Source organism: Homo sapiens, chromosome 10, assembly GCF_000001405.40.
Source record: "Homo sapiens chromosome 10, GRCh38.p14 Primary Assembly".
Lineage (NCBI taxonomy): Eukaryota > Metazoa > Chordata > Mammalia > Primates > Hominidae > Homo > Homo sapiens.
In genome coordinates this window covers 118,254,033-118,267,071 of record NC_000010.11, presented here as the reverse complement: position 1 = coordinate 118,267,071, position 13,039 = coordinate 118,254,033, and the positions used below count along the sequence as shown (strand labels likewise).

The following is a 13,039-nucleotide window of genomic DNA, read 5'->3' as shown; positions in this document are numbered from 1 at the left end:
CAAGTGACATTGTGCCTGTTTTGTAGATGAGAACCTTCAGGAGCAGAGAAGGTAAGATCAGTCGTGGTTGTTAGAAATGCTTTTTTTTTTTTTTTGAGACAGAGTCTCACCCTGTCACCCAGCCAGGTTGGAGTGCAGTGGCACTATCTTAGCTCACTGCAACCTCTGCCTCCTGGGCTCAAGCGATTCTCATGCCTCAGTCTCCCCAGTAGCTGGGATTACAAGTGCGTGCTGCTACGCTTGGCTAATTATTATATTTTCAGTAGAGATGGCGTTTCACCATGTTGGCCAGGCTGGTCTCGAACTCCTGGACTCAAGCAATCCACCCACCTCGGTGTCCCAGAGTGCTGGGATTATAGGCGTGAACCACTGCGCCTGGCCTGGATCAGTGCTTTTAACTTCATTTTACATGACACAGATTTCTTTATAGTGCATTTTATATTACATATATTACCCTGTTTCTATGTTATGTTGATTCCTGGCTGACTCACGGGAAGCAGAGATTGTAGCTGGGTAGAGGAGTTTGCATTTGGATTGGTGGCTTGCTTTGTTAAATGAAAATTACTGCCTTCACTAGGGTCCATTAGCACATCAAAATGGTGCTTGTTGAGTCAGGAAAAGTGATACATTATGCTTGCATTTATTCTTTGGTCCCCAAAGACTAATTGTTGGTTTGTGTTTTTAAACACCCTTTCAAGTGCTTAAAGCCCCTAATGAGTTAAATTAGCAAACCATTAGGCTTAAGAATAGTGGTGTCACTGTGGACACAGTGTTCCAATTATTGATGCCTGACACCAGGATGCCATGGTGAATGCAACACTACAAATCCCTCTATTTCTAATGCTACTGGACACTTGGCAAAGTGTTTACCCTGCATTGCTGTGTGGTCCATATGTCAATCCTTTGCCATTTTACAGATGAGGACACTTAGAAGCTTAGAGATGTGAAGTGGTGTGCCAACTCAGAGCTAGTAAGGGACATTTGCACGTAAGCTTTGAAACACCAGAGTCCCCACATTACCCTAGAGAACACCAGTTTTGCAGATGGCACTTGGTTTGGTTGTGGGCATACGCACACTTTTTGAATTTCTAATATAAACTGCCTGGGGCCCACCTCAATACTGGCTTGAAAGTGAGCTATCATGTTGCCTCTTAGAGATCGAACTTAGCTGCTAAGGACAATCTCTTCATGCAACTCAGGGACTCCAAGGAGACCATTATAAGGACCATAGGATGTTGTTAAAAGAGATGCCCCTAAAATCTGATGAGGTGCCCAGCTGCTGTCTTTGAATGGATGGAAACCCAACCCCATTGTGCAGGGATAATGCAGCTGCGACACTGGGAACATCCAGAGACACTCTCTAAGTGAAACTCTTCACAGGGCCCTAGCATACCTGTTTCAAGCTGATGTTACTAATCTTAATTATCACTATCATTTTAGCTTCCTTAATATTGGATGCTTAGCAGTTCAATTAAAACATTTTCTTAAAATACTTTAAATATGTATTTAAAACATCGAATCATCTCAACTGTCATATGAGGACAGTACTATTATTTTCCTGCCTTGCAGCTGAAGATGTTGAAGCTCAGTGCAGTCGAGTGGTTTTCCTGAAGTCAGAGTGGCCACTCCTCACACGGTCTCCCGGGGCACTTTGCCTGAGATGTCTCGGCTGGACCTCTCCTTTGGGTCGTTCGAGCTTTATTGCTTATCTTCATGATCTTGTGCAGTCAGGTGAGCCCCAGATGTATCAGATTCATCAGACCTTAGCAAGCCAGGACCAAAGCTTACCCGAGATGGCCAGCAAGAATGAGTCATAAGGAGGTTCAGGTCACTGACATGGCCTAAATCAACCACAAACAGCCCTTGTATTTTAGGACAGTGGGGAAAGGAGCCAGGAATCACTCAAAATCAAGGGCTTCTACTCTGTGGGACGTGTGTTTCTGTTGCCTTTCGTAAAATGAGTGGATCCTGTCTGAAGTTTTCTAACTAAAGTCTAGCTCCCCAAATTCAGCCTCAACACCACCTATCTGCTAGTGTAAGCAGCACACCGCTAATGGGAGCTGCTTGCTGCTAGGGGAATTTGACTTCTTCTTAATGTGGAATAATCACTATTACCTCTCAATTACTTAACAAATAGAGAAGCACAGGGCCACGTTATTTCAAAAGAGCCTCCTGAGAGTAGGGCTGGAGATCTCCAAATGTTACCCGGAATTAGCTAGGAGAGGGCAGGTGATCAGATCTTTTAATATCTACCCAGGGGAAAATGCACATATTATGTACTAATAACTCAGGCAGCGCCTTAACTATTCCTCACCCTCTCACTTTAAGCGTAGACCTGGGAAACACCCTGCTCCTTCTCTTCCTGCTAAGAAATAGTCAAATAGTAAGTAAGAGGATTCATCAGGTCCCTTCGGTTACTAGCAGTGGGGGTGGATGGGCTGTCTTCCTCTCAAACTTGGTAGACCCACTTCCTGGCTGGAAATCAAATAGCAGTTTGGTAGAGATGTAAAAAAATGAGAAGATGCTGACCTTCCCTCCACTATTGTCCTATGACCCTGCCAAATCCCCCTCTGTGAGAAACACCCAAAAATGATCAATAAAAAATAAATAAATAAATAAATAAATAAATAAAATGAGAAGAAAAAAAATCAGTAAATTAAGTAGTGGGGGTAAAAAAAAAAAAAAACCAAGTTAAATGGGTTGGTATTGTGCAGACAAAACCCACCACCCTGGGTTGTAAGCCATCTCCCTATTCCCTTTGGAACTATAGTGACTATCTTCTATTTGGGGGTTTCTCATAAGTCAATATTGTAAAAATTCTATGAAAAGCTGTTTTGGGTGAGTTAAACATAGTCCATTTTCTTGAAAAATACATTCTTTCCCAAGGCAATTTTTTTTAGCATCTTAAACCAGCATTGTTTCCTATGAGACAGTAGGAGCGAAAATAGAGCTTTAGGTTTATTTCCAAGATTTGATTAAATGTAATGTAGAATTGCAACTTTGAAAGGAGCTTCGGTTTTTCTGGTGGCATGAGAACTAAAATTAAATTTGAGTTTAGCTAAAAGTAAAAAAAAAAATAACTCAATGTGTAATGAGGATTAAATGTTAGGGACCAGTTTGCCCATGAGACTTTCGATTTCACTCTGTTCAGCATCTCTGAATGGTCGGAGCAGAAGGCATGCTTTACATTTACAGGAGCATGGAGACTTCAGGTATTCTGCTCACTAGCTTTGCGTGGGTCTTTATGCTGAGTGAATAACTGTGCATTTGTTGTAGAATCAAGGACTAAAGAAGTAAAGGGGAGAGGAGATTACCCTTTCAGAACCCCAATTCCCACTAAACCAAAGGTAAGCTCTTTGTAACTATTGATCAGGAAATAAATCCCCTTTTATTATTCCACAGATGCAGGAAAACCTTTTCTCCTTCTGCTATTTCCCAACTCTTTCTACAAATACATAGTTTATACTGACTTTGCATTTCTTCTTACAGACCTGCTAATTCTGAACATTTATGACCTCAACTGCTTAGTTCCACTCCCCGCCCCACCCCAGGAAAATGGCAAGTGGAAATACCCCAGCTGGTGAGTTAAACTTTGTCATCAAAAAATATTCCAAACAATTTACTATTTTCAATTCACCCAATAAGAAAAACAGGGCAATCTAGGTCAAGTCATTGCAGCCTCCAATATCTCACATTCGTCATCTAAAACAATGCTTTTAATTACATATGGGGAGTAGCGATGTAGGTACTTCAGATTTTTTTCTATTTGAATTTAGAGATTATGACTCTAGATGGGTTCTACACACTTTTTGAGGAAATATAATTTTTCTTATCAATGCTTTGCATAGCAGCACTCAACTTCGCTCAACTTACAATAAGTCTTTGTTGATGGTTGCTAGTGATCAACTACTGTAGGGGCTGGGGGATTGATTAGCACATATATGTTTTTGTTATTTTAGTAGAATATCCATATGCCATTGATAATGAATTAAGGTTAAATGACAATTTTTCTTTACAACCACTCTTGTCATATAGCCTGTGAACTGAAAACTGGATTAACCTTTAATTACCCTCAGTGATCTCTCAACCCCCAGACAACATTACCACTCCTACCAGTAGTATTTGCATATACAATTTAATGAGAGGAACATCTGTTTGCATATTTGGTATCATCAATATTATGCAGATGAATAGATATTCACAATGTGATAGGCATTTGTGCTAACATCTCATTTTCTTCCTTCATTTCTAGTCTTTCTTCCTCCACCCACTGATGCAGCTGAACTTGTATTAATTAGAATTAAGACTGTCTGGAGCCAGCAGTCTTATGCAGAATGCACAAATGCAATGTAATCTGTGTGCCTGCAAAGCCACATTTTTTTCAACTGGGGAAAAGATACAACTGCTGGGTCTTATAAAATGTACTCCGCATAGGCTTGCATGCAGTGTGTGTGTGTGTGCATACGGCCGTGCACTCTTTAAAGAAAACTATGTTTTCCACTCTTCACTTCAAATTTTTTAAACAATCCTTCATATGTCTATTTTTGGAAACACTTGCTTTCACACATAGCTTTCCCCTGATGGCTACATCAAATGCTTCCTACACAGAGATTGACAATTTCAGAGCTCTCACAACCCTTGAGAGTCAAGCCAATTGAACCTTTATTTTCCTCACTGAAGCCTGACTGGGTTAAACAAATTGCCCGCATTCGCCTAAGTGGTTAGTGGTCTGGGTCTGGGCATTTGCCTGAGTAGCCATGTCTGGGTCTGGGCCTCTGGACTCCAAGACTAGTGCTCTTTTGACTGAGCTGTGCTGCTTCTCTCTCTGAGTGAAGTTTGAAGACATTTACAGCAGCAAGTAAACTGATTTTATACAATTTCTTAGGAAATTTATGTGGTTACCAGTTAAAGCCATCATTTTAAAGGTGTACACATATGCATTGCACATACAAGATGCATACTATCTATACAATATTTATCACCAAACATTATATTTTGTGTACATGTGTTTTGATTCCTGCATATGCAAAGTTTTGACTTCTGCATTGGTTCAAAGATAATGACAGATTCCTTAGAGATTTTCAGGGCTTTAATTTCATGGTACATTTTTCAATACTTCTTTCAATATGAAAAAAGAGGGCTGCTTCTTTGTGCTGTATAAAGTAAAAAATTCTCAGTTCTAACTTAATTTCACCCCCTTCTGATCACAAGCCTTGAGCCAGGCACCACCACTTTTAGCACTTCCAGCTTCTCAGCATATGCCATGGAAATTATTTTATAGAGCTACTCCCCATGACTGTATTGTCTCATCAGAATGAAGAAAATTCTTGGCTTTCATTAGTGCATCTATCCTCATTAATTCAAACTAAATGGTGGTAGTGGTGAAGGGGCAGCCAGATTAACTAGCGAATACTTTGAACCATAGAAATTTTTTATGGGAATGTACTATTGTTACTTACGTGGATGTTCTATAATTAAAGCTGAGCCGTGACTCCAGAGGTCTTTAGGATACATGATTAAATCAATTGGTTTGTGATTTCATATCCATTATTTGTAGGCAAAGGTATTTTATGAAACTATTGGGAGCAATTTGTTCTCTGAGTATTTTCAACATCTCCTAATTTATACACGATTCATTTACATGATCTATAAAATAAAAAGCACTTCTTTAAAAAAAGAGGGAGCTAGCTCAAATAGCATCTGGGTTAGAATCATTTCCAAATAAGTAAGATTTTTACCATATTATCCAAGTAGAAATGAACATAATATGACAATTTGATTCAAAAAGACATTTGAACACCTGCTGTAGAAAGAGCACTGATCAAGGATTAGGTTTCTATCTGAAGTACACTTAATTTTTGCAATCACTTTAGATTCCGTCTCCTGCTACTGTCATGCAAGTAACATTTTAATATCAAATGAAAATGTGTCCCATCCAATTGTGACTATAAATTCTGTGTATGAAGCCTGACACACAGGAGGCATTCATTCGGTAACAGTAACTATTTGTTGGATGGATGGATGAGTGAATAGGTGGGTGGATGGATGGATGGGTGGGTGGGTGGGTTGTGGCAGCATGAGGCATCCTGACTCTCTTAGCCATTTCTAAAATCTCAAAGAATGCACTGCTGCCAATGACCTAAGTATAGATTCTAGTCCTAGGGCAAAATTTGCAAAGAGAAGTGTCACTCTAATTCATGGCTTCTAGCAGGAGTGGATCTATCCTGTATCTTGTGGAAATCCAATATGGGTTCCTGATCACTCTAGAATTGTCAGTAGACCTTGGGTAGTAAAGTTAAGAGTGTGCGTGTGTGTTGGGAAAATTCACAAAGAACTTATGGAAAAGTGAATTTAGTAGACAATTGGCAAGTACAAATTAGCTTCTCGCTTCATTGAGACATGTATGTTCTTATTGTTCTTTTCATTTTATATTAATTGACCTATATACATATTAATGTGACCTATAGGTATTGGTATTTTATTTATGGCTGTGTTCTAGGCTCTAGAAGCTATTGTATGTACTCTCAGGGGTGTTGACTTTCGGGTCATGAATGCATTCACTTCAAGAGAGGAGGGAGAAGATGTTAGAAGATGCAGGACCAGTTTCCCCTGTGGACAGAGGCCGTGGACGGCATGTCTGCTGACCCACTAGTTGGGACTGCTTTGGCTCTTGCTGAAATTGCATTTCACTTGTTTCTGACCTAATTAGGTCTGAACTCTTGGAACGTGGTCAAGCTTTTGCTTGCATGCGGGAGTGCAAACACAGATAGATGCCTTACTGAGATGGACAGGAAGAATCTCTGGGGCAGAACTTGGGCTTCCATGGGCCCATCAACTTTGGGGTGTTTGCACTGTCAACAATCCACTGGGATGAGAAGAAGATACTAGAACTTTTCTGAATATATTTTGGTCAAAACGGTCAGAAAAGGTACGAAATTAAAAGAAGCATGACTAGTACTTAATATATATAGCTTGAAATCAATACATGTATACAATTTAATCATGACTATTCATATACCAGGGATGATCAAATCATTTAGGGATGGGGATACATGATCAAAACAGTTTGACAACCTCTAGTCTATGGGAAGACGCACAGTGTTTTCCAGGGCAGCTGAGTAGAGCCCTTGCTCACCCTCCCAGAGCTGCTCCAGCTCCTTCCCACTCATTTTCCTGTATTCCTGGACAGTCTGGATATTCCAAACAGCTGCCAGCTCTCTGAATGTGCTCTGCTGTTGTGTGCCCTGGGGTCTTTTCACCTGCCATTTTCAACTTTGGATCTCTTTCCCTCTGCTTAGTAAACCTTTTTTTACTTTTGTAAACAGTTTACTGTACTTGCTGGACAACATGGATCTGTCAGCCCTATTACTCTCTCCTCATAACTCTGTTATTGCTTTACAAGTTTGTCACCCTTTTATTTTTGGAGCAGCTGAAGGATAAAGCTTGTTCTTTTACATTTGTGTATAAACGTCTGTAGAATGAACAAAAGAATGAAGTTAACAAACCTAGCCTTCATTGATGACTAGCTGTAGGGTTTACACCCTGAGATTTGTTTGGGTCACCAGGAGGGGTCGCTGTTGGCACTTCCTGTAATGGCCAGCGCCTGGCTGGTGGCTCTTTTCTGAGCAGTAGGTTCTCTCCCAATATAGCAGAGTCTAACTTATTACCTCCTTCCCTCACCCTTCCTCCACTCACTTTCTTGAAAAGGGGACAGAGGCTGAGCCTAGAAGACAGGACACAGCCTCTGACTTCATAATAAAACTTTGTGTGCGAGGGGTTCCCCAAGAGCCCCCAGGATGAACATGTTGCTGGATGGACTCACAAATGCTGCTGGGGAAATTGTTGATGCTACCTTGCTTCTTCTAGACCAGAGAGCTATTCTGGAACAAGCAACAGTACATAAAGAGGCTTTTGAAAATGTCAGTGGCTGAGAAACTGCAACCAGCAGCTATGAGCGGATTTTGAGGGGCATAAAACCACACAGCTCCTGAAAGCAGCTGGACGTTCCACTGGCAAGCTGGACAGAAAAGTGCACCAAACTAGGCGAGATCTTTTTATTAACCACAGTGTCAGAGAATGGCGAATACATGGCTATTTGACTGTAATTATGAAAGCACTGGTACAAATAAAAAAGGAGTACAGAATGTCTTAGTCCCATTCTTTAAGATTTCTGTTAATTTTTAAACTGTATTTTAATTTAAGGACATTTTTATACCTTAGTAATAAATTAACATTTCAAAAGTACTTTTACCTGCTGAGATGGTTCATTCCGCTAATATGGGTAACGCTGTGGACTCAAATAATTAGTGTAAATTGCCTTTGAATAACACAGAGCTGGGAACAACTTTAACTTGCTAGGGCTTAATGCCCCTTGCAGTACAGGATGAAGAGTCCTTAATGGGGCCTGGAAAAACAACTAATACCTACAAATCAAAGGAGAAAAGCCGTTTTTGATGCATTTGTCTGAGAGTGTGAGTTTTAAACTAAATTGTTAACACTTCCTCCCCGCTGAGGGTCATGGATTAGCTAGGCTGGGAGATTCTTTGAGAATCTTTCACACTGACCAGGGGAGGTGGGGGGTTCCAAATACAAGTGTTTTCTTAACCTTAATCCCTACCTCCCTGACCAGGACAGCTCTGCATTTCCCTCTAATTAGGTGAAGAATTAGGAGGTGGATAAATGTGTTCAGGGATGAGGATAAAGTGATTAGTTCACTCCAGACCATGATAGTGATTTCTAGGCGCTACTTAGTTCCTTTCAAGATAATAACTTTTCTCTTTTTTACAAAAACGTATTCAAGCAAACCTCAAACATGTATTTATAGGCAATGATAATTATCTCTGGGCAAGTTAGGGACAGCATATTGACAAACTATTTTTACTTTCTTCTGCATTTGTTTAATTTTCATAAGTTTTTTATCCCATAGAGGAATATCTAGAGCAATTTCCAATCTGAACCATGTATTGTAATTATTTGTGCAATCTGAACAAAATTTAATAACGTAACCCAAAAATGTATTCACATTTAAATGATCCTTTCAGTGACGAGGGGAAAAGACTTGTTGCTTAGTAGCTGTCTGAGATAAAACCATTTGACACATTTTCTGCATATGAATAGATTCTACTGTGTATGCATTTTTAAAAGGATCTTATAGATATTCCTTACTGACCTGTAATTTTAAATTTCAAGTTGATTAAAAGCAGTTACTGAATAGCTGTGAACTTGGTGATATTAGCAAACTTTAGCCAGGATGAATATCCCAGAACTGCCCTGACCTCTAAATCAGTTTCTACACAAAGAAACCCAGACAGATATCAGAAAGAACACGTTGTCTTTTGCGCTCAGACATCGGTTCCAGAATCGCAGGGAAGGTTTCCTCCGCTTTTGCCCTTTTAGCTCACTTGCATACCATGAACACATTGCTTGCTGGTCTTACCTAGTAAAGGTCTATGTGCTATGAACGCATAACTAAAATAACCTCAGGAAAAAGAAGAGTGATAACTACAAAAACAAAACATAATGTTCCTCCACCTCCTTTCCGAGGGCATTTGAAGGCCCAAGGCATTAGTCCTCTTGGTCCTTTTTGAGGGCTCATGTTTGGGAGTTTCAAAAGGCAGTGATCTAATTGTTAAATTTTGGAACAAGTTCTCCCAGTTTCATCCTTCTTGGACGTTCATCTCTGAGGATTTTAATGAGCCAGAGCAAGACAGAAGTGCAAACATGAAATGCGTCTCCAGGCTAAGTTGACCAGGATTAGACACTGCCATGGCCAGCCTCCTCCCTCTGGAAGGCACATCACATTATTATTATTTTAAAAATCAAACTTCTTTTTAGCTGAAGTAAGTTTCCTTTCTGCTCCTACAAATATCATGGCTGGTTTAAGGTTTGATGTCTGCTTAATGCCCAATTATGCTATACAAGACAGATCACACTACATTAGCCAGGATTATGTTGCCTCTTGATCTTATCAGCTTTGTTTCCTAAACTACAAAAAGATCTAACACAGTACTGGTTAGCAGTTTGGCTTAGACAATCTCTATCGTCATCCATCACTGTCACCAGTTAGCAGGAGGCATTAGGCACAAAGCTAAGAGACAGGATGCAGAGCTGACACTCTCTTCCCAGGCTAACACTCTAATTCCACATTTACGCCAGCTCTTCCTAGGCTCGCCCTTCCTTACTATGGAAGCTTTCTTTCCCTTGCTTATTTTTGGAAAAGGAAATCTATTCCCGTAAGTTGTTTGCTTGCTTGGTCTTAAATTCTTTGTAAGTATAGACAGGAGAGGGAGTAAACGCATAAGGAAAATTAAAATATATATTCCTCAGCTAAAATGAGGGTTGTAAAGTCAGAGATCTGAGGGAGAAGATGGAGACTAATGGATTGAATCTGACCGTTCCTACCTCTCAGGGCTGACTTGGGAAACTCCATGAACACAATGGGAATTCTCAGCGGCAAGGTACAGCTGGTCTAGCAACTTGTATTTAGCATTTTCTTTTCCATCATATGTGGGATGACTCCAAATGTGTCCATGTCTGCCTTAAACTCTGGTTGTTTTAAGTCATGCGGGATTACTCCCAATTTGTCCACATCTGCCTTAAACTCTGGTTGTTTTAAGTAGCACCAGGAGCAAGCCAGGACATCTGGGTTCTAACCCATTCTAAGTCAGAGCAGATACCATCTATACTGGGCACTTGTTTTAGTTCAGCAGCCTTCACGGGAAGCCTCACACAGAGACACGAAAGAGCGTGAGATTTCAAAACAGACTCCATTACCCCATTTGTGGTCAAAATCTGATAGAATCAAGAAATAGGAATCCCAGTAGGGATATCTATGTGTCAAGTGGTAAACTTGATAATCGTAAGAATACATTTAATGCAGCAGGAGAGAATACCAACCAGAAGATTAACATTTCTGTTATATAATTACAAGTTCAAGGAGTTCAGCCTCTTATCACTTTATAGTGAGCATAGGAAGTAGGAGTGATCCTCTTTAATTTGTAATTATTTAACTGCAATGTGAGGTCCAGCGGCCTTATTCTTACCCTTCTGGGCTGCAAGACATTGGTATGCAGAATCCATGCGAGAAGGCGCAGAACACTATCAGAAGAAGACATGTTTGATTATTCTTTAAAACCAACTAAGAGAAGTTAATCTCATTGAACTTCTTTTTATTCAACAAAAGAGTTGGATGTTTCCAAGTCTAATGTGACTATAATGTTCATTAAATGGACTTCTTTACACCTTTAAATGGATTAACTGCACATCTTTACAGTCTAATTATTATACACGTCATTCAAAAAAATCACAGATCTAATTCAGGGGATGATAAAGGCCTTTCTTTTGCGACTATGGAAGAGACATTGCAGTAAATGGATGTGATTTTTATCAGTGCCATATTTAAAAAAGGGCACATGTTGCTCCAAGGAGGTGGGAGGGAAGGACGGGACTGGATGTGCTGAATTTTTCTGCCCTGGTAATTTTATTTCAGAGATTTAGGATCTGACCATGCTGGTGCTTGCTCCTTCCGGGCTCGCTGTGCCAGGCACCTTAGAGGTTCCTCCCGCCTAAGCCTGCCCGGCTAATGACTTCAATCTGTCCAAGACAGCTCTTAGTCAGATAAGCGATAAATTATGGACAGCCCCCCTTCAGTCCCAGGCCTTTGGGGATCCTCTGAGTTCTTTTACCCAGACCTTTCTTGAAAACGAAAGACACTCTCTCACCACGCTTCAAGAACATACCAAATCAGTTTGTTTTTTTTTTTACAAATACATTTGCCATTATCTCTCTTTGGGCCTATACTTCTCTCTCTGTCTCTTTCTTTCTTTGCTGGGGGAGCATTACATTTGGCATGCGATGGCAGTTCGCTGTGTCCTGAGGATGTCAGAAGCCTTGCTTGGCTCAGGCATGTACAGATGCCCTAGAAGCTATTGAGAGATGCAAGGACATTTCTGTCTTTGGAGAAAGGAGCTCTTGAGGGGAGGACCCTGGAAGGCCCCCAAGTAATAATTCAGGCTTTTTCTGTTGGAAACTGAAGAAGGCACAGATTTGTCTTCATTCATTTCACTGATATTTGTTGAGAAGTTATTACAGGTCACATAGCATGTGTAGTCAACCAGATGCAGCCCAAAGTTGAGCAGACACAATTCCTACACTCAGGGAGCATTTGGTCTGAGAGACATTAACATAAAACTTTGTAAATTGAAGGAGGCTCCCAGTTTTCCATTAAGGAGGGGCTGAGAGTTGGCAGTCTAGTTAGAAGGCGTGTTTAGAGCTTGGAGTTTGTGCTTGCTCGGCAAACTTAAGCTATTTTTCCTGATGTTGAACCTACATGGGGTTGCTTTGGAGTGGTGAATGGGGACTTGAGGGAGGAAATGAAACACCCAGCCCGTCTCTGGACACTCCCTCGGAGCCAGTCAACAGTCCCCACAATCCCAGTCCTGGCTCCCCCAAGCGAGAGGCTAGACCACAGGCAGAAACATGAGGCGCCTCTGTCTTTGGAGTGTCCTCATGGCACCATGGAAGGCGTGCACATGGTGCCAGGCATGCACATGGAGCCAGGCAATGCTGTGTGGAAATGCCAGCACTGCCATTTCCTAGAAATGTGACCAACAACAAGTTACTCAACCTCTTTAGCCTCAGTTTCTTCATCTATAGATGGGGATAATTACATCCATCTTTCAATGTTCTTATGGGGACTTAGAAACAACAAATATATAAAGGGACTAGCACGATGCCTAATGCCTAATAAATAGTAAGTGCTTAATCCATTCTAGGCCCCTTGTCCTTCCCTATCAGTTTCCCTTTCACTGCCTGTCTCCCCTCCCCTCCCCAGTGTGCCATTCTTAATCCTCAGTCGTGTCCAATTAACTGGGACTAAGGTTTTACCTCATAAACAAAGTGTAACAGCTCAAAGCTTACCTGTACTAGTGGTCTTTGCCTTTTGGAAGGCAAATCCTAAAGCACTGAAAATCCTAAGGAGTAGTGCAGTGATGGCCAGTGGAGTCGGTATTTGGCACATGCGGACATCCCCTTGGCATGG

At 40.9% G+C, this 13,039-nt stretch overlaps 1 annotated feature.

Moving 5' to 3' along the window:
• Positions 376–1,039: an enhancer, noted in NCBI's record as "NANOG hESC enhancer chr10:120025545-120026208 (GRCh37/hg19 assembly coordinates)". NCBI's record gives its function as "activates a minimal SCP1, AML or CMV promoter by ChIP-STARR-seq in naive H9 embryonic stem cells {active_cell/tissue: H9 hESC(naive)}" and the evidence as "EXISTENCE:reporter gene assay evidence [ECO:0000049][PMID:30033119]".